Here is a 21,301-nt window from a genome sequence, read left to right as displayed (position 1 = left end):
GAAAAACAGGCATAATAATGAGGCTATTGTCAGGAATGCACACATTTTCTCTGCTTGTTTAAACTCACAAGAAACAATTCAATGATGTTAACAAGAGATATTTTTTCTCAAAACCTGAGTTATACAATATTTTTTGTAGATATGTTTATGTGGGGACCATTGCTGTTGGCCCCCTGGAGGTTCACTGAAAATCATTGAAATTAGGCTGGGCACGGTGGCTCACACCTGTAATCCCAGCACTTTGGGAAGCCAAGGAAGGTGGATCACCTGAGGTCAGGAGTTCAAGACCAGCCTGGCCAACGTGGTGAAACCTTGTTTCTACTAAAACTACAAAAATTAGCCAGGCGTGGTGGTGAGTGCCTGTAATCTCAGCTACTTGGGAGGCTGAGGCAGGAGAATCATTTTAACCCAGGAGGCGGAGGTTATAGTGAGCTGAGATCATGCCACTACACTACAGCATGGGCAACAGAGCGAGACTCTATCTCAAAAAAAAAAAAAAATCACTGACAATAGGCAGATTGATTAATAGGATGAAGGACATACAAATCTACTTAATGCATATGTATGCATGGGAGCCTTCGGAATGAAGACCTAATAAGTTACAGAAGCTTATATACCATCTCTAGGTTACAGAAAGAATTGGAGCATGGCCAAAAACAGGTATTGTTGGTAAATCCGGTTTAATGGTAAGACAGGTTATGAGAGAGAGAAAAGAAGAGGCTTGGCTAGCAAAGGTGGCCTTGTTATGTAGACGAAGCCTTCCTCAGAGAGAATGGATAGTAAATATTTATTTCTAGACTTTTAAAGGTGTCAGACTCTTAATCTCTCCTCAGTCTAGGAAAGGCGTAGAAAAGGCCTGGCAACATTAATGAACATTCGCCACAAGTGCAAATTTTTCTCCACAAAAGACAACTTTGCAAGGCCACTTCTGTTTGCTGGCCCTACAGAAGCCATTTTAAAGCATGCCAAAAAATATATTTTGGGGTAAAATATTTTGATTTTATTTACATGTATATTATTAGTTTTCATATGAGAGAAGTAATGATTATTCAATTTTAAATTTTATTTTTGCCTCAGTTTAAACACTCGGAAAACAAAAATGGTGTTTGTTATTTCATTATGTAGAATTCCTAGAAAATATTAGTAGAACTGCTATCTATTCATTAAACATTCATATCTTATATGAACTTTATTACCATAATTTCAAGGTACCAAACATAATCATGTCTAAAACACCAAAAGCAATGGCAACAAAAGACAAAATTGACAAATGGGATCTAATTAAACTAAGGAACTTCTGCACAGCAAAAGAAACTACCATCAGAGTGAACAGGCAACCTACAGAATGGGAGAAAATTTTCGCAACCTACTCATCTGACAAAGGGCTAATATGCAGAATCTACAATGAACTCAAACAAATTTACAAGAAAAAAACAAACAACCCCATCAAAAAGTGAGCGAAGGACATGAACAGACACTTCTCAAAAGAAGACATTTATGCAGCCAAAAAACACATGAAAAAATGCTCACCATTACTGGCCATCAGAGAAATGCAAATCAAAACCACAATGAGATACCATCTCACATCAGTTAGAATGGCAATCATTAAAAAGTCAGGAAACAACAGGTGCTGGAGAGGATGTGGAGAAATAGGAACACTTTTACACTGTTGGTGGGACTGTAAACTAGTTCACCATTGTGGAAGTCAGTGAGGCGATTCCTCAGGGATCTAGAACTAGAAATACCATTTGACCCAGCCATCCCATTACTGGGTATATACCCAAAGGACTATAAATCATGCTGCTATAAAGACACATGCACACGTATGTTGATTGCGGCACTATTCACAATAGCAAAGACTTGGAACCGACCCAAATGTCCAACAATGATAGACTGGATTAAGAAAATGTGGCACATATACACCATGGAATACCATGCAGCCATAAAAAATGATGAGTTCATGTCCTTTGTAGGGACATGGATGAAATTGGAAATCATCATTCTCAGTAAACTATCGCAAGAACAAAAAACCAAACACCGCATATTCTCACTTATAGGTGGGAATTGAACAATGAGAACACATGGACACAGGAAGGGGAACATCACACTCTGGGGACTGTTGTGGGATGGGGGGCAGGAGGGATAGCTTTAGGAGATATACCTAATGCTAAATGACGAGTTAATGGGTGCAGTGCACCAGCATGGCACATGTATACATATGTAACTAACATGCACATTGTGCATATGTACCCTAAAACTTAAAGTATAATAATAAAATAAAAAAACACAATTATTATTTCTAATAAATACTCTGTAAACACTATAACAATCAATTCAATTAAGCAAGCATTTAATTAATGGGTACTATTTATGTGCTGGGCATTGAGTTTATAATGATAACTAAGATATATTTTTCTTGCTATGCTCCAGCTTAAAGGAGAGGTTTGAAATATTTTGGATGAAGGAAGGTTCAAGGTGAAAATGTAGAACAAGAATGAAACAACTGACACATCTATCAAATGGCCCTTAGTGTAACTTCCCAATGGGCTCTCCTTGCTTGCTGCCCAGTTAGAGCTGATTTATCAAGACAGAGGAATTGCAATAGAGAAAGGGTTTAATTCACGCAGAGCCAGCTGAACAGGAGACTGGAGTTTTGTTACTCAAATCAGTCTCTCCAAAAATTTGGAAATTGGGTTTTTTTAAGGATAACTTGGTGGGTATGGGGGCATTGAGTAGGGAGTGGTGATCGGTTGGGTCGGAGAGATCATACAAAGTTGAAGCGGTCCTCTTGCACTGAGTTGGTTCCTGGATAGGGGCCACAAGACCAGATGAGTGAGCCAGTTTATCCATCTCGGTGGTGCCAGCTGATCCATCAAGTGTAGGGTTTGAAAAATACTTCAAACACTAATCTCAGGTTTTATCATAGTAATGTTATCTATAGGAGCATTTGGGGAAGTGAGTGATCCTGTGGCTTCCGGCTGCATAACCCCTGAACCGTAACTTCTAACTTTGTGGCTAATTTGTTAATTTTACAAAGGCAGTCTGGTTCCCATGCAAAAAGGCAGTTTCTTTTGGGAAAGGGCTGTTATCATCTTTGTTTCAAAGTTAAACTATAAACTAAATTTCTCCCAAAGTTAGTTCAGCATATGCCCAGGAATGAACAAGGGCAGCATAGAGGTTAGATGCAAGATGAGTCAGTTAGGTCACATCCCTTTTACTGTCATACTTTTCTCACTCTTACAATTTTTGCCAAGGCAATTTCATTAGAATAATCTGCTAACTAAGGGCTCTATGTAAAGTTGCTGATTTTCTTTAGAGGTTAGACGGAACTGGGTACCTAATCTGCACAGGCCAGTGAAATATACAAATGGAAAGCACTTGTTCAATAATTTTTAAGCATTTCAGATTGTGACAGCAGAGCATTTAACAAGCAAGGGCCTCTCTAAGCATTGGGCTCTGTGTGACTGCCCATATCACCTGCCCCTGAAGCCTGCCTTGAGGTTAGATTTTTTTTCTTTCTTGCTAATACTTTAGTTTCTCTTAGAATGCTTTTGTTGCCTGATGCATTAATTTGATAAAAATGATTCTGTGTCTCTGAAGTCCAAAGAGCATTGATCATGCCATCATGGTTTTCTGGCAACTTGTTAGTTATGCACATTATCTTAAAAAATCTATGAAGTAAAGACTTCTATTTTACTTTCTTGCAGGGCTTCACTGGAACAGATATGTAAGTAGAACTGAGGTTATTTTTACTTTATCATTATGCCTTTTTATAAGGAGTAAAGAATAGTATGTTAATCCATATATATGGAATAAAATTAGGATACCAGAAGGGATTTCAGATAGCCTTCACACAGCTAACTTACTGTCTTGTCAGTAGCAACACTAATAGGTAGAGTAATATTGGGAAAAAATAATGCTTTTGAATTTTTTGTACACTTAAAAAACATTACATATGACTGCATTTTATCATCATTTAATCTAGTCATCTGATTATATCATAACAGTGAAATACTGCATTTTACAATTGCCTGTATCCAAGATTTCCCTAAAGATACAGTGAGGAGAGACTATTTCTTGATGTGGTGATTTGTGATTACATATTTATAGGTCCACATATGTGTACACTTGGGGTTGTACTAGATACTACATTGGTAGTGGATATTAAATGCAAGCTTATATGGCATGTTGATTTTATGTCTTAGGAATGAGTATAAACTTCATAAAAAGTGAAACTAATAATAAACAGATAATTGAGATGTTGTTTGCCATCAGTATTGGATCATACGCATTACACGATGAAAGTTTCTAGATGCCAGTAAGTAAAAAGGAGCTGATACTTAGTTACTAATTATGTTCTGAATTTAAAGAAGTGCTCATCATAGAAATCATTTTATATAAACTGTGTTTAAAATCTAGTTATTTGTGAAGTAATAAAGTAGGCCTAATTCATAAATTTATATGCATATGAATTTAAGCACATGCATCTATAAGCAGAATTATATATACAAACAATGATATTAATAAATATATTATTTATCATAACTTAAGGCAGCGTATCTTATTTAATTACTGAACTGAAAATATTTTTACTCCAGTGACAGAAATGTACTGCAAAGCACTAATAAAATGCAACACGTATTGCAGATAAATCCTCTCCATATTGAAAACTTTGAGATTTATTGTGATCTATCATCCCAAGATCTATTGAGAGTTGAATAACATAAATACACAATTTATGCCTAGGAGATAAAACATGGATAAAAAATACCATGATCTAACAATGCGATTTGAAATCTGGCATCTAATTTACACACACAAACACACACTCACCCTTAAGTCTAGTGTGTATTGCCTTTAGTGCTCTGACATTACTAAAGGTAAACTATTCTAAGACAAGGTTTTCCTTTGTAGTGGTGGAGATACTTGTGGTGCCTAGTTGTGTGTGCAAACACACACACACACTCACACTCACATGGCTAACCAAACCTTGAAAATTTAAGTTGTCTTTTGCCCTCTCATTTCACTTACTGAAGGCAGACAATCTCTTCATGTATAATAAAAGCAATTCAGATTTTTGTAATGTAATTTTCTTAAGCCACTGACCTATTCCATTTCTCTTCATCTGGTTCTGATCTGAGGATAATTTATTTTATAATCTCTACTACTAAAGAAACAAGGTAAAATAAGTGAAAGGAAATAGTATTGATAATAATCACTTTATGACACTGTGTTGTAAACAACACCCTGATAAACCCTTTCCTCCATCTTCCACTGAGTGGACAGGGGAGTAAAGATGAAGCATTGGACGATGGCAAAAGGAGTCAACTTCAACTCATTTTGGCAAGTAGACATCTTGTGTCCTGGAGATCATAATTAACCATAATGTCAATGAAGAGTGACTATGGAAGAATTGTGCTGCTAAAATCATCTATTGACTAAAGAACCACAACCATAAATACAAAAGCAAATGCTATCCCATTTTTTGAGCCTAAACTTAATACATTTATGAGATGTCTTGAAATACAATTATTTTTCACTTGTAAAAAATATGAAGTCCTTTCAAAGTAGGAAAAAAATTATCCTATTTTAAAAAATATAGGAATGAATAGACTGTGGAAAACATCTATTTTATTTTTTAAAATGATATTTATTGCGTATTAGTATTAAATTTCCTAGCTGTCTCATTCACTCACACTCTGAACTATCACAGACATAACATTTTATGTTTTTAACAATTATTTTGTAATGCTAATTATATACAAAATAAAAATACGATTTTTTTTTTTGAGACGGAGTCTCGCTCTTGTCACCCAAGCTGGAGTACAGTGGCGGAATCTCTGCTCACTGCAACCTCTGCCTCCTGGATTCAAGCGATTCTCCTGCCTCAGCTTCCTGAGTAGCTGGGATTACAGCTACCGGCCACCACGCCTGGCTAAGTTTTGTACTTTTAGTAGAGACAGGGTTTCGCCATGTTGGACAAGCTGGTCTCAAACTCCTGACCTCAGGTGATCCGCCTGCCTCGGCCTTCCAAAGTGCTGGGATTACAGGCGTAAGCCACCGCACCTGGCCAGATATTTTTAAGTTTTAAAACTTAACTTTAAGTTTAAATCATAACTTTAAGTTATGATTAAATTTTATGAATTTAAATTAATTTTTTTAAAGTTGAGTTATAAGTTTTTGTATTCCAAAAGATTTTAAAATGTATTTACTTACAATCTTGTTATGTTGCTTTTCATTTTTTAAACATAAAAAGTGATTAATAATCATATAGAGAGAATAAAATTAAAATATGCCATCTCGAAATATAATTCTCTGGCATATTTTGAAATGGCTATTCAGAAGGACTGCAGACACAAGTATGGCTCTGGAAGCTATCCTTTGTGGGGGAGATTTGCATCTGTAGAGAAAACTTTCATTAGTAAAGTAAATAGCAAATGCAGAGGCTTTTTATTAAGGTATTCTTATCTGGATCTTGGAAAAATTAACTCACAAGAAAAGGAGATGAAAACGTTAACACTTACAAAGTCCTGACAGTGAAACTTTTACCAAAGACTACTGTCTACTCTGAGGGCTGCTACCTGCGAGGCTTCAACTGCATAAAAAGACAGCCTTTGTCACCAAGTCTTTTTTCCCCATCTCTCACCCATAACCTGTCACCATGCTCCAAGCCTCAATTTCTTTCTATAAAATATAAAAACTTTGTCATTTGGCTCTTCTTTCAATCTCATATTCATAGACCTCTCGTGTCCATGTGCACATTGATAAATCTGTATCCCTTTTCTCCTGTTAATCTGTCTATTGTCAATTCATTTCAGCAGACTCAGACTTCAACATTCGGGGGAAAATTTGAACTTCTCTACAGTTTTGGTATCTTTGGCAGGATTATAGCAAATCACTCTGCCCACACCCGAGGCTGCAGCCAGAAACCACGGAAACTGACAGACGCCAGCAAAAAGAAAGAAAAAGTTAAGAAATTTCTTACCAGTAATCCTCCTTGGGTTTCTGCCTTAGGACTAGTCAGGTGAGTGGTGAAACTCCATTTTCGTGTTTCCTTCTTTCTAAATTTAAAGGAGAGAAAATATTTTTAAAAGTTAGTTCTTTAAATTTGTGTCCCTTGTGGACTTGTTTTATACCTATTGATAATTAATCTTTAAACATCCAAAAATGGTCCTTGTTTTTCTTGTCTCTGTCCTTTGTGTGGTTTGGTATAAGGAGAAAAACCATAATAAGCTTCTCCTTTCATCTTGTTTTTGTGTCTTGAGAAACTTGGCTTTGTAATCCCCAAATTTATTTTCTGGTCTTCACTACCCAGGAGGGCATATTTGCCAGACATATACTAGGCTGGGAATCTGAAATGTCTGTTTTTCCAAATGTGTAGGTTCTCAAAAAAAAATTGCCTTTGTTATCTCAGCCTTCATTGCCTAACAATTAATGTCTTTGCTTTCTTCTTCTTCTTCTTCTTTTTTTTTTTTAGGTGGAATCCTACTCTGTCGCCAGGCTGGAGTATAGTGGTGTGATCTTGGCTCACTGCAACCTCTGCCTCCCAGGTTCAAGCGATTCCCCTGCCTCAGGCTCTGGAGTAGCAGCAGCTGGGACTACAGGTGCGTGCCACAGTGCCTGGCTAATTTTTTGTATTTTAGTAGAGACGGGGTTTCACCATGTTGGCCAGGATGGTCTCGATCTCCTGACCTCGTGATTCACCCACCTCGGCCTCCCAAAATGCTGGGATTACAGGCATGAGCCACTGTGCCCAGCCCAACTTTGCTTTCTTGAGCTATTGTAGCAGGACAAGCCGCAGACAAAACCCCTCAGACACCAAGTTGTAGAAGGAAGGGCTTTATTCAGCTGGGAGCATCGGCAAGCTACCATCTTAAAATCCGAGCTCCCCAAGTGCACAATTTCTGTCCCTTTTAAGGGCTTACAACACTAAAGATTTCACATGAAAGGGTCGTGACTGATTTGAGCAATCTAGGGGGTACATGACAGGGGCTTCATGCACCAGTAGTCAGAGTGAAACAGAACAGAGCAGAGAGTTTCACAATGTTCTTCCATACAATGTCTGGAATCTATGGATAACATCGGTTGCTAAGGCATGAGTTGATTTTTAGCTACTAGGCAGGCCCAGGCCTGGTTTCGGGTCTGGTTTTGGGTCTGGTGCCTGGTGCCGGGCTGCCTGCCTTTGGTTTCACTTCCTTGTTTCTTCTTAAAATAGGTACTGAGTATGAAACAATGTAAAACAATATGAGAAGGTCTCTCTCTTCCCTCACTATCTTTGGGAGGAGCTTTAAATATTGGGAGGAGTTGCGTGTACCCTTTTTGAAATGAAATTCTTGTGTTTATTGATTTTAAGCCATAAAAGGGCTTATTATAATAGTTTTGAGTCACAGATGAAGTAGGTACACATTTGGAGATTTGGAAACTATCTGTATGACTCTTGACATTCATTAATGATCCCTACATCCCCACCCCTTGTTACGGTAGGTAGCTAATCAGACATGAAGAGAGCAGGAAAGGGCTTCCCCAACTCCCTGACACACACACCAGGAATGTCAGGTGACCATCAGGTGATGATCAGGCAGTTGTTAACTGTCTCTCTAAAATAATAATTGTTCACAGTCAGTGCCAGGGAAAGGCAGTCTCCGAATAAACAGAAACACCTGAAACTGGTGATCAATAGCTTCCTGACAAGATGTCAGGATTTGGAGGAGTTGGCTCAATCATGCACATTAAGAAGCAAAATGGCAGAGTTTAACTGGTATATGACTTTCTAGGGACATTTGACTGATAAGGGAAGAACGCCTCAAGTGTATGCATGCATACAACTCTAGTAAACACACTGTGCCTGCTCCCCTCCCAAGTGCTGACAGGCCACTGCACATATAGACAGCCCACCCCAGGGGAAGAATCGGGGGGGAATGAATGCAAGATTCTGGAAGCATCTCAACTTACAAAACCCAAAGTCAAAAGGTCAAACCGCACACTTGATCTCTCAAGTTGCCCCGTTGGCCCTCTTCCAAGTGTACTTCCTTTCATTCCTACTTTAAACCCCCTTTATTTTATTTATTTATTTATTTTTTGAGATGGAGTCTCGCTCTGTCGCCCAGGCTGGAGTGCAGAGGCACGATCTCAGCTCACTGCAACCTCCGCCTCCTGGGTTCACGCCATTCTCCTGCCTCAGCCTCCCGAGTAGCTGGGATTACAGGTGTGCACCACCACACCCAGTAGAGACAGGGTTTCACCATGTTGGCCAGGCTGGTCTTCAACTCCTGATCCTCAAGTGATCAGCCCTCCCAAAGTGCTGGGATTTACAGGCGTGAGCCACTTTGCCTGGCCTTTCAAGCTTTTTAATAATCTTTCACTCTTGCTCTAAATCTTGCCTTTGTCTCTTTCCCCCTTATGCCTCCTGGGTTGAATTATTTCTTCTGAGGAGGCAAGAATTGAGGTTGTGGCAGACCAGTACAGATTTACTGCCGGGAACATGCATTGGTGCTGTGTGACTTGGATATGTTCTGCTCCTAAAACCCTAATGTGGATGACTTATTTTTCTGGTTTTTTTGTTTTGTTTTGTTTTGTTTTTGTTGTTGTTTTTTTTCTTATTGATTGATCTCTTATTTTGATGTTTTATCTATCCAGGTCATATGAAATGATCTGGCCTTCATGCACAGGTGGACAACCAAAAGTTTAGGAGCCCCAAGAATATAGCCAAACAGAAATGTGAGTTATACCTCATTTGCAGCTAGTGAAGTTTTGATTTTTTGGCTGGTCTGTGGGAGTGGTCTGAATCTTGGAAGAACTTCGTCTTTCTGTTTCGTCTTTGGAGTCCTTGGTTACAACCATAGAGAGGCTACGTAGTTTGGTCTTGAGTCACTTGTTAAATATATCTTTAGTTAAGATTTTGGTTTATATTCAGAGAATAATTTTTTTTTTAACTTTTCCTTTTTCTGTTTGCTTCCTGCATTCTCATTTGAGCTAACAGGAAATTTTATATTCAAAAGAAGAAATTTGATTAGTAATTACCCTGAACTTCTAAAAACTTCCATTATTTCTTTGTCTTTTGAGATGTAAATTCTCTCTCCAGTCTTACCTGAGAAATAATTCCTTTTTAAATGCAAATTTCAAGGAAAGAAAAGCCAGGAAACAGAAGTGTTTGCTGTTTGTTTGGCTAAAACCTCTAATGAGATATTTAAAGATTTCTTTTTTAAGAGCTTTATGGTCAAAAATTAACTTAATTAAAAGCTGATATTCAGGCTACAATTTTTTTAAAAGCCTCCCTGCTTTTTCTGTTTTGGATCCTGTTTCTACTATGGAATTTCTTTTAGTCCACAGAAGCTCCTTTTAATTATATGTTCGTTCCTCTGTCTACTTCCTTTTTTGTTGGCATGATTTCTGCTGAGAATAATATAAAACTTTATCGACCTTTTTGAAAACTCCCCAGTTTGCTGCTTTAGGATTTGTTCTTCCTTTTACCTCTGCCCCCATTTCTTTTGTCATCTTGATACTCTTTGAGGAAGGAAGAAAAGGTGCCACTGACCCTCTTTTTCCTCCTCACGAAGCCTTAAGAGTGAGAAGTCAGTTCCTCTCAGGTCCAAGGCTCTATTATCTTTCATATGAAGCTCCCTAATCTCCTGGCTCTTAGGAGGTGGAGTACCAAGGCTTGCTTTATAACTGACAAGTCACTGGTAAGAGCTACAATTTTAAAGGTAACTAACAATGTTACAGCAACCAGTTATTACGGCAGAAGGCAAATTCTTACTTTCTACCTTCTTCATTTCTTTGCATGCTTAGGTAAGAAAAGACTCAGGTATATGACTAAGTCAGACCCAACTGACAATCAGACAGTTATTTGAAACAGGCTTCCGAATTGTCTTTTAGGTTCATCTGTATGTAACCGCCCAATAGGTTCACCTTGCCTAGACAGAACCGATTTATCAAGACAGGGAAATTGCAATAGAGAAAGAGTTTCATTTACACAGAGCTGGCTGTACAGGAGACCAGAGTTTCATTATTACTCAAATCAATCTTTCTGGAAACATGAGGATCAGGGTTTTTGTAGATAGTTCGGTGGGTAGAGGGTCAGAAAGTGGGGATTGCTGATTGGTTGGGTCAGAGGTGAAATCCTAGGGAGTTGAAGCTGTTCTCTTGTGCTGAATCTGTTCCTGTGTGGGGGCCACAAGACCAGATGAGCCAGTTTTTGGATCTGGGTAGTGCTAGCTGATCCATCAAGTGCAGGGTCTGCAAAATATCTCAAACATTGATCTTAGGTTTTACAATAGTAATGTTATCCCAAGAAACAATTTGGGATGTTTAGAATCTTGCAGCCTCCAACTGCATGATTCCTAAACCATAATTTCTAATCTTTTACATAATCTGATAGTCCTGCAAAGACAGTCTGGTCCCCCAGGCAGAAAGGGGGTTTGTTTGGGGAAAGGGCTGTTATCACCTCTATTTCAATGCTAAACTATAAACTAAGTGTCTCCCAAAATTAGTTTGACCTATGCCCAGGAATGAACAAAGATAGCTTGGAGGTTAGAAGCTAGATGGATTTGGTTAGGTCAAACCTCTTTCGCTATAATAATTGTCTCAGTCATATTTTTTGCAAAGGCAGTTTCATGTGTACTTTATTGTAAAATCCTCTAATTCTTATGATTTTATATTACCTTAGCATTCATTTAAAATCTTCCTCTTTGTCTCACCTAAAGCACCCAAAGCTCCTTGAGAAAACTTATGTTCTTTCTCTATGCCTTTGAGATGTAAATCTCTCACCCTGTCTTCTCTAGGACTTGATAGCATTCTTTTGAAAAAAACTATAAGATATTTGTATCTATCTGTATGATTGTTTATGTTTATACACATATACATCTATGATATCTGTTGTGTCCACATGATACAAAATCCCTTCGTTGAATTTCAAATTGATTTAAAAGACAAATGAACATGCATATATTAAATACTTTAGGCTCCTAAAATTATAGATACTAACTCAAATTATTTTCAAATTCATATGAATTGAATACATTTTTTGTAAATAAAACTAGCTTAATATTGTTGGTTTAAAAAACAGTAAATCAAATAGATATGAGTGAGATAAAGATGTATCTCTTTGATAACTACATCCTTAGAATTTTGCTAAGTTAAATTAAATGATGGCTATTCATTTAATATCTAGTTCATTTCTAAAGAAGATAAAAGATTGAAACATTAATTGCTCAACATAGGTTTCAGTTTATTTACATTTGGCATCTTACATTTTATAGAAAGATAAAATATATTTGGGCTTGTTAGCAAATATGTCCTTTTCCACATTGGAAATATGTTCTATCAGGAAATCTATGTTTCTAGAAGTCATTAAGTATATAGTCATAAAATGGGTTGGTATGTGACTTTGAAGTTGCTTACTTCCTAGATTTTCACTAGAAATTAAGATTATTAGGATTATGTCACTGAATATTAATATATATACTTAAAACTACTAATAATAAAGGAAACAATTCTGTATACAAAATATACAGGCAAATTAAGATGTTATAAGGTATAAACGTGTTTTTGTTGAGGAAAGAAATCATTTTGTCTAGGTACAGGTTATTTAAAGGTTGACTCAAAATAAGTAAATGGAGATAAGAATGACTGAGCTAAACCTGAATAAATATAGAAGGTTGGGAAAAGAAAGACAGTGAAAAAAAATCCTGTGTCGTTAAACTGATAAAAATTTACTAAATTTAATATAAGGGTTTTAAAATTGAGACTTATCATTAATAGTACACTGATACAAAACTAGAAATTGCTTTTTAAGGATATTCATGTAGTATTAATAAGAGATAATAAAAGCTTTATGTTCACCTTTGGAGTAAAGGACAAAAAGAAAAAAAAAATTAGGGAAAGAGAGAAACATGTTATATGTGCCTCAGTTATCTTTACTAGGCCTTTTGATTATTTAGGAAAACTGAATTAAAGATAAGTTTTTCTACAAAAAATGTAACTTCCTGTATTTGCTTCTAAAATATTTTAGTTATTACCCTGAATTACTAGCATTTCATATTTCCCTGTGATTCTATTTTTTATCAAGTGTTTTAATCATTTGATATTTAGTAAACTTCTCAAAAATCAAAATTTGGGGACCTTCTTTGGTCTTTTTGATGCCAAAATAACTCTTGGAGTGCCAGTGGGCTCCTGAACACCTAAAGCACAGACATTAAACTAATCAACCTGATTCAATGTTTCAAATTATATGGAAAGCATTGTCAGGTAAGTGATGCTAAATGTTCTGCATGTGTTATTAATGTTAGTGTTCCAAAACTGTATGGGATTACTAAAAATCTAGTATGTTGTCAGTTATAATTTTTGGATATTATGTTAAATTTTACATTCTACAGAACTTACCACATTTATTTGTCCTCTATGGGTGATAATAAGCTACCATAAGACCTTTAACCATGGCTACTTTAAGTCTCATTGTTCACAGTTAATTGTTTTATTCTGATACTCTTTCTAAAAGTGCTTTGCAATCAGCTACAGTCTAAAATTTGCTTATTTTTCAAGGAGAATTATGGGAAAGACCCTAACAAGTGCCCTTGAATATAGATTTCTGATAACTTTAGAATCATGTCATTGGACTGTATAAGAATTTCCAGAACTCTTATGAAGAAACTGATGGGTTCATAAAACTCCCAACCTAACACCAAGCAAAACAAGAATTAATTACATTGTACTGAAATAATTTTTATGCCTTTTTTTCATTGTTTGAAGCATTACTGATTCTTTTTACGTTTTGTTTTCTAAAGTTAAGAAAACTTTTTTTCTTAAACTGTCTATAGGTTTATAGCAATTTGGTAATCTATACTTTTGTGAGCAACATTTAAACATTTATCTTTCTCTTTACCTGACCCCTCCAGATTTCAGAAACTATTTGTGAGTATTCTTATTTTATGGCAGTATGGTTATTTGTATAAGTTCAATAAGAATCTGTTCTCTTGTATAACAGAACACAATTAGAAACACTGGTCATTTTACCAAGGTTTTGAGCATAATGTCATACCTTTAAAATTGACCAGTGTGCTTTAAGATATTAAGGTTGACTTTATGGAACCAATAAAAAGGTTCCTGGAAAAACTGGCCTGGCACCTTAAATACACAATTCACATGGTTGTCTTACAGGGAGGTAAAGAGTGCCACTTCTTAGCAGCTTCTGAAACGTCAGGATATTTTGAGAACCTCAAGCAGAGAGGAATTCATCCAGATACTACAGATATTGCAGGGAGATTTCAAGGTCATATCTTTGACTTGGTTTCCTAGTCTTGAGATGCTTTAAAAAGAAGTCTAATTTGAGATTTCTTATAAAAAGTTTCAGCAAAGCAGACTTTAAAAAGAGCCTGTAATACCAATCACTATTCTTGCTAAACCATGTAAATAATCTGTATAAATAAACTATGTAAATAATCACACCAAAGACTAACCTTATTTTGCAACCAAATTAGTCTTAACATAGACATCTTTGGTAGAAGTGGAGGTGGAAGTAGAGAAAAAATCGTGTTTTAGAATAAAATTATAGTACACCTGTTATTAGATTTTAGATAATTATTTTTGAGATTTTATTTTTTATTTGTTATCTGGACTGAATACCAAATATTTTTAATTTCATCGTGTATCTGGCTATAAATCTCCAAAACATCATTTCCATTTTTTTTTCAACCTTTTGACTTGGAATCACTAATAATTAAAACTGTTTTTCCTGAGGTTCTACGAGCTAAAGTGAGTATAGTTGAGAAACAGACTCCAGAGAAACCACCACAGTGGCCTGTGTTTAGACAACCTTTATGACATTTAAACAGCAAAGTAGATAACTCTGTCAGATTGCCATTGATTACCCTGGTCCAGCTGAAGTTGATTCAGCCCAGATTCAAAAATCTTCTCCACTGGCTACCCTCCAAACTCAGAGACTAACTTAAAGATTGCTGCAGACATTATTAACCTTTGTTTTTGTTTCCAAATAAAAATCTCTAGTAAAATATGTGTGTGCTTGCACCATGTAGAGCAGTAGTCTCCAACATTTTTGGCACCAGGGACCAATTTTTGTGGAAGACAATTTTTCCATAGATGGTGGGGGAGTGTGGTTTTGGGATGAAACTGTTCCACCTCCGATCATCAAGTATTAGATTCTCATAAGGAGCATGCAACCTAGCTCCCTCACCTGCACAGTTCACAATAAGGTTCAGGCTCCTATAAGAATCTATTGCTGCCGCTGATTTGACAAGTGGTTGAGCTCACGCAGTAATGCTCACTCACTTGTGGCTCACCTCTTGCTGTGTGACCCAGTTCCTAATAGGCCACAGACAGGTACTGATCTGCAGCCCAGGGGTTGGGGATCTCTGACATAGAGCCTTCACCTTGAAAAAGTACATCTGCAGTGTTACCTCCTGAAATAAGACATAATTATTTAACTTAACTGACTTATTCTAGGACTAAGATACTGATTCAAGAAGATGTGGTGCAGTGTACTCAATATTTTTCCATTCTGCTTGTTCCAATCTATGTTTTCTTCCCCTCTGCCAATCTCTTTTCTTAAATTTTCTAATTCAAAGAAATCACCATAGCTACCAATTTTACTTTAACATGTGAAACTTTCTGGAAATAAAGTTTCAAATGGGGGACTCAAGGAAACCAAAATATGACACCCCAAAATATATTTGGCATATTTCGAAATGTCTATTTAGAGGGACTGCAGACACAGAAATAGTTCTGAAAAGCTGTCCTTGTGGGGGAGATTTGCATCTGTAGAGAAAATCTACATTAGTCAATAGCAGATGCAGAAGCTTTCTCTGAGTTTCCCTTATCCAAATCTAGGAAAGATTAACTCACAGGAGAAGGAGAATGAAAGTTTAACACTTTTAAAGATCTAACAGAGACTACCATTTATTCTTTCTGAGGGCTGCTACTTGTCAGGCTTCATATGCATAGCAAGACACATTTTGCTAACAACATCTTTCCTCCCTCTCCCACCCTTATCCTGCCACCGTATTTCAAGCCTTTATTCCTTTATGTGCAATATAAAAACTTCAATTATCTGGCTTTTGTTTGAGTCTCATATGGATAGTGACAGGAGACAGACAAATTCCTAGGCAGACAAGGACGTGTCCCCAGAGAAATCCAGTCTTCAAGCCAAAGACAGCCTGAAACCTGAAAAACAAGCTGCTGGTTCCACAGAGAGCCCATGACCGGAGTGAGAACTTCCTCGATGCCTTTTAACCAATTGAATGGTCCTTTTTCTAAGACCACTCATGAACCAATCAGCACACACTCCCCTATTTTATGAGCCCATAAAAACCCCAGACTCAGCTGCAAAAAGGGCTACCCACTTTTGGGCTCCCTCTTGCAGCTGATGGCAACCTGACTTCAGGGTGCCATCTCACATTTTAGAACTTTCCTTCTGTCACTTAAAATTCTTCTCTGCCTTACTCATTCTCTGGTGCCCATGCACCTTATTCCTCTTGGTTTTGGAACAAGAGCCCAGAACTCGCTGAGCTTCAGGCAGCAGGAACAAATGAGTGTCAACCCTCCTGTTCGCAGAGCTGTGGGCAATGGGAATGAGAGAGCTGTAATATGCCCCCATTCTCCTAGCTGTGGGCTCAAAGAAGTGAAGCCATTGGGTACCATTCCCTCCTGGCTGGCTTGCTGTACTACAAAAGCCGAAACATTTCTTGGAGGCTCAGAGTTCAGGAATCCCCAGGCGAAAGCTATAACACCACCTGGGGCTCCATGGTTGCTGGCATCTCTGAGTTTTTGAGTGCCACCACATTCCCCTTGTCTAAATACAGGTGCCCAATGTGGAAGCCACTCATTGTACCCCTGGTCCAGCCATGGGCTGAGCATGGTGTCTCTGTTCTGGTGTGGGATCTGGGGCAAGCTGTGAGCCGAGCACAGCCTGCCAGACTGAGTGGTTAGAGCAAGACCAGCAAGCCCAAGTGAGGCCCCAGAAAAAGATCATGGCAGCTGCAGGGACTTCCAGCAGGAGAAGTGGCACCAAAGGAATCCTGTAACAATATTTTTGGAATTCCTCTATCCATGTGGCTATTAATAAATTTATATTTGTTCACATTTTCTTCCATTAATCTATTGTCAATTCATTTCAGCTGACTTAAACTCTTAGACTTTAGAGAGAAACTTTTAACTTTCTGACAGTATATATAATATATATGTACACACATATACATGGATATATTTATACACACACATGCATAGTTTTCTCTCAAAGCCAATCCACATATAATGGCCATAAAAAGTTCACGTTCCTCTTAAAAAATCATAATATGGGGAAGCAAATTATTATTGTAGTGACATACTTCATCTTCTCTGCTGCTCAATAAGCATACACTTCTATTGTTGAGAGTATTCTCAACTTATGCAGTAATAACTATCTCCCACTAAAGAAACTAAAAATGTAAGATTTGAGTTTTTGTTACTATTACAGCTATTTAGTAGAAAATATGTATATATCTTAGGTTCCTCAATGAGATGACCTATCCTATAAATTGAATAGAAGAGCATGAGGATCTATTTAGACAATAAGTGACAGCAGTGCTTCCACATGCAATTAGTTTCAGAGGCACCAATGACATTGCTCCTAGGGGTGGCTTCTAGTGCCAATGTGAGCAATGTTAGCAGGGCAAGCTAAAATAACTTTTCTCAGGTGCTTTGGCAGAAAGATCTTCACTGAACAAATCTGTATAATTTTGGGCATAGCTCCTGGCCACATATCTTCCAAGCCTGGTTTTCTAGCCTGTAAGAAATTAAATGGCTTTCTCGCAATCACTTTAATAAACTGAATCTTGCTTATAACTGGGTTGCTTTTATTTGCTTTCAAATAAAGAAACCTCACTGATTAAAAAAATACTACCAGTGGCGATTAAAATAACAGATCGTCAGAGATTGGAGGAAATTCCCACTTGGTTGGGTATAAAAAGAAGTAAATAGTTAGTATTAAGGAATGAAACTTTGTGAACATATAACAATATGAAAGGCATAAAAAAAGTGAGTGCTAAAGCTCCTTCTAGTGATGCTGAGCAATTTAAAGAGAAGAGGAGATACATCTTACAAATTACTGCATGAAACAAAACCAAACAACATTCTCTGTTTGTGTGGAGAAAAACAATTTCTTATTTTTTTTGCAACTGTAAGGCTGTGATGGTTACACACAAAAAAACATAATATTTTTACTGTGGGTGGTAGGATCATTGTGACTGCATAATTTTGAATTTGCCCCAAACTCCTCCTAAAAGCCAAAAGTCTATTTGGCCAGCAAAAGAAATATTCCACAGAAAATATCTTCAATAAAGTAGAAACTAAGAAATGTGGCATCACCATGAGGCTCAAGACATGCAGATGGGGGTTGTATGGCCAAACCACCAACAGCAGGAGCAATGCAAAATTAGCAGTTTGTTGACATGTATAGTAGGAATAAAAGGGAAACTGACCCTGTCAGTTCTGGAACCTTAATATTGCAAAATAAATAATTAATTAAAATAAATTAAAACCCCAAATGGAAAACAACAACAACAAAGCTTCAAGAAGAAACTTGATTGAGTGAATCCCAGGACATCAGAAATATCTGGGATACTTCTTCATGAGCCCTAAGTTGTAAGTAAAGGCAGAGACAAAGAAACAACATAGCCATAAATACTTAACAATAGAAGATCAAATACTGCTGTGGTTTTCAGAAATATCCAAAAATTTTCCCTCCCATAAGGACTGAGTTTGATTTAGAGGAGACATAGGAAAAGGTATGAAGTTGAGCAAAGCAAAAACACTATGGATAAGAAAGAGAATAGGTGCAGATTTCAAGATACAAAATACCCAGGAGAGTGAAAATCCAGATATTACTGTACAGCAAAATAAACATCTAAAAGTAAGAAAATTGTTTTTGAAAACAAGGACTATATGGCTCTAGGAAACATAGAGCAGGAGGTAAGAAAACACATTCCTGAATCTCTGGGAGACAAAAAGAGGTCATAAAAAGATATCATGGTTTGAGTTCTCCACTGTAACAATGTCATACAAAATGTAAAACCAAGGAAGTTTAAAAAAAAGATACTCTAGTCCATCACCACTGCTTGTAGAGCAACCCTCTCCTAGTGACTGAGAAAAACACTTCAAAAAAAATTGTAAAAAACTGAAATAGGACAAATGCATTAAATAAGACAATTGTTTTAATACTAAAAGTTGTAATTCCTAATGGAATGTGACAATTATTAATATCAGGGCACTAAATAAACTAGTAACATCTGTTATTAAAAAACCCAGTAAGTAATGAAAGGTAAAATAGACATGGACGAAAAGAAAAACAAAGAGAACAAAAACAGATTTTAATGTACTTCTCTCACACTAGACATAAACAATTAGGGTATATCAAACTCCATATTCCAATATAAGAACCTTCTCTACAAGGGCATGAAATCTGACCACATGGTAGAAGACAAAGAAAACTTGAATAAATTGCAACATTATGAATATTAGGAAGTTTTTTCTGACCATGGTGCAACCGCCGTGAGATATATCTGAATAGCATCAGAGGCTGATTTCCTTTCTCCTTTTAGAGGCTCAGAAGAGAGTTGGCTCAGTTTCAGTTGCCCTGAGGATATTTATGTAGAAGCAATATTTTTGGCTAATGTTAGTCTGGCTGGCATGCAAGGCTGTTCTCCCTGCCCTGGGGTCTTAGTATGAAGACTTTGGCTCTTGACTCGCAGAATCACTAACATCACTTCTGGGCCTGGAGATTCTTTTACTGGTTCTTTGTTACTTAGAGAAACTAAGTATTCCCCAATCCCTTTTAGGAAACTCCACAAACATTTTGTTGGAGTGGAGCTCATAGTTGACCTTGGAGGCCTCTCAATTAGATGTCCAGGCAGCTGGAACCTTGTTCCAAGTGCATTCAGCACAGTTATGCTCAGCCTATACTGTGAAATGACAGGTTCACAGAACTGTGTGTGGTCTGCTACTTCTCTGCTGGTTTGCTTCCCCCCAATAAACCCTACTTTAAATTTGCATTGTGAGTTACTAGCAGTATGTATCTATGGTTATCTGCCCCATGACAGCAACAAAATGAGAAATTAATACAATATTTTTAAAAAGAAAGAAAAGTGGTTCTTCTCTTGGAAGTGGTGTAGTCAAAGTAAATAATTCATAAAGTAAAAAAAGATTATTGCATTAGAAAACAAATAAACATGTAAAACTAATATATAAATTAAATATGGTTCACAGACATCAACCGAAAAGACAAACTATTTCAACCTAATTAAAGAGAAAGTAGAGAAAAAACAGATATCTAGAAATAAAAAAGGAAAGGAAGAAATAACCCTTAAAGTGGATTAAATTTTGAAAAACTAATAGGAGTATCCATTGCACATTGCTAAGCAAACACAGTTGAAAACTTAGATGAAATGTAAGGTTTTCTAGGAAAATATAATTTTGCCAAAGTGACCCACGAAGGATAGAAACTCAAAACAGAAAATTGTCATGAAAGTAGAGTTTTACATAAGTTTCTATAAAACAAAGCATTAGGCCTTGGCAGAGTTAAATTTGACCAAACTTTTAAAGAAGCTCAACTAGACTAAATGTTCTTAAAAAATGCAGAGCATAAAAAGTAGAAAATACATTAAATTATTTTTTGTGAATCAAGTATAAAGTTAAGGCAAATGTTTAATAAATGTTTTTAACAAACTATCTCGTGAATATCATCGAACAATCTCAAACTATTAATAAATAAATATATACTTTTTAAAACAATTCATCATGAGCCTGTGAAATTCATTCAGAAAAACAATTCTGACTTGACATAGAGAAATTTGTCAATGTGAGTTGTATTAATTTATCTAAGGAGAAAAATGTAAATATGTTTAGAGATGTTGAAAAAGCACTGAAGAAAATTCAACATCAATTTTTTTAAAAAACCCTAAAATATTGGATTTAATAATTTTTTTTTTTTTGAGAAAGGGTCTCACTCTGTCACCTAGGCTGTATGGCAGTGGCACTAACATGGTTCAATGCTGCAGCCTCAAATTCCTGTGTTCAAGTGATCCTCCCACCTCAGCCTCCTAGTGTTGGGATTAAAGGTGTGCTACCATACCCAGCAATATATTTCTTAAATATCAAAAATATATAATGAAAGTCATCAATGTACTTGGACTAAAGACAGGTTTATTTCCTGCTGTAATCAGAAACAAGTTAAAGATGTCCACTATTGCCACAACTATATAATAATATATGTTAGGGATAAAAGGCAATCAAAATAAGCATGAGAAATGTATTTGAG

At 36.6% G+C, this 21,301-nt stretch overlaps 1 long non-coding RNA gene across 2 annotated transcripts in view, besides 3 other annotated features; it reads left to right on the top strand.

Moving 5' to 3' along the window:
* LOC105374021 (uncharacterized) overlaps positions 1–15,005 on the top strand; it is a 40,806-nt gene extending 25,801 nt beyond the window's left edge. The window contains exons 1-5 of one of the 2 annotated variants that reach the window (XR_924302.3): positions 3,154–3,500; positions 3,708–3,727; positions 6,884–7,024; positions 7,478–7,604; positions 9,637–15,005. This is a non-coding gene — a long non-coding RNA (uncharacterized LOC105374021). Of the gene's footprint in view, positions 1–3,153; positions 3,501–3,707; positions 3,728–6,883; positions 7,025–7,477; positions 7,605–9,636 lie in introns of those variants that run through there. The other variant, XR_007096271.1, reaches the window with a different exon arrangement.
* Positions 6,513–7,712: an enhancer, noted in NCBI's record as "CDK7 strongly-dependent group 2 enhancer chr3:104241405-104242604 (GRCh37/hg19 assembly coordinates)". NCBI's record gives its function as "activates an origin of replication core promoter dependent on BRD2, BRD4, P300/CBP, MED14 and CDK7 cofactors, with strong dependence on CDK7, by STARR-seq in HCT116 cells {active_cell/tissue: HCT116}" and the evidence as "EXISTENCE:reporter gene assay evidence [ECO:0000049][PMID:35650434]".
* Positions 8,209–8,488: an enhancer, noted in NCBI's record as "active region_20191". NCBI's record gives its function as "activates an Ori minimal core promoter by ATAC-STARR-seq in GM12878 lymphoblastoid cells {active_cell/tissue: GM12878}" and the evidence as "EXISTENCE:reporter gene assay evidence [ECO:0000049][PMID:35858748]".
* Positions 16,316–16,816: an enhancer, noted in NCBI's record as "H3K27ac hESC enhancer chr3:104232301-104232801 (GRCh37/hg19 assembly coordinates)". NCBI's record gives its function as "activates a minimal SCP1, AML or CMV promoter by ChIP-STARR-seq in primed H9 embryonic stem cells {active_cell/tissue: H9 hESC(primed)}" and the evidence as "EXISTENCE:reporter gene assay evidence [ECO:0000049][PMID:30033119]".

This window comes from Homo sapiens, chromosome 3 (assembly GCF_000001405.40).
Source record: "Homo sapiens chromosome 3, GRCh38.p14 Primary Assembly".
Classification (NCBI taxonomy): Eukaryota; Metazoa; Chordata; class Mammalia; order Primates; family Hominidae; genus Homo; species Homo sapiens.
Note: the sequence above shows the minus strand (reverse complement) of the source record. Positions and strands in the feature narration are given on the sequence as shown.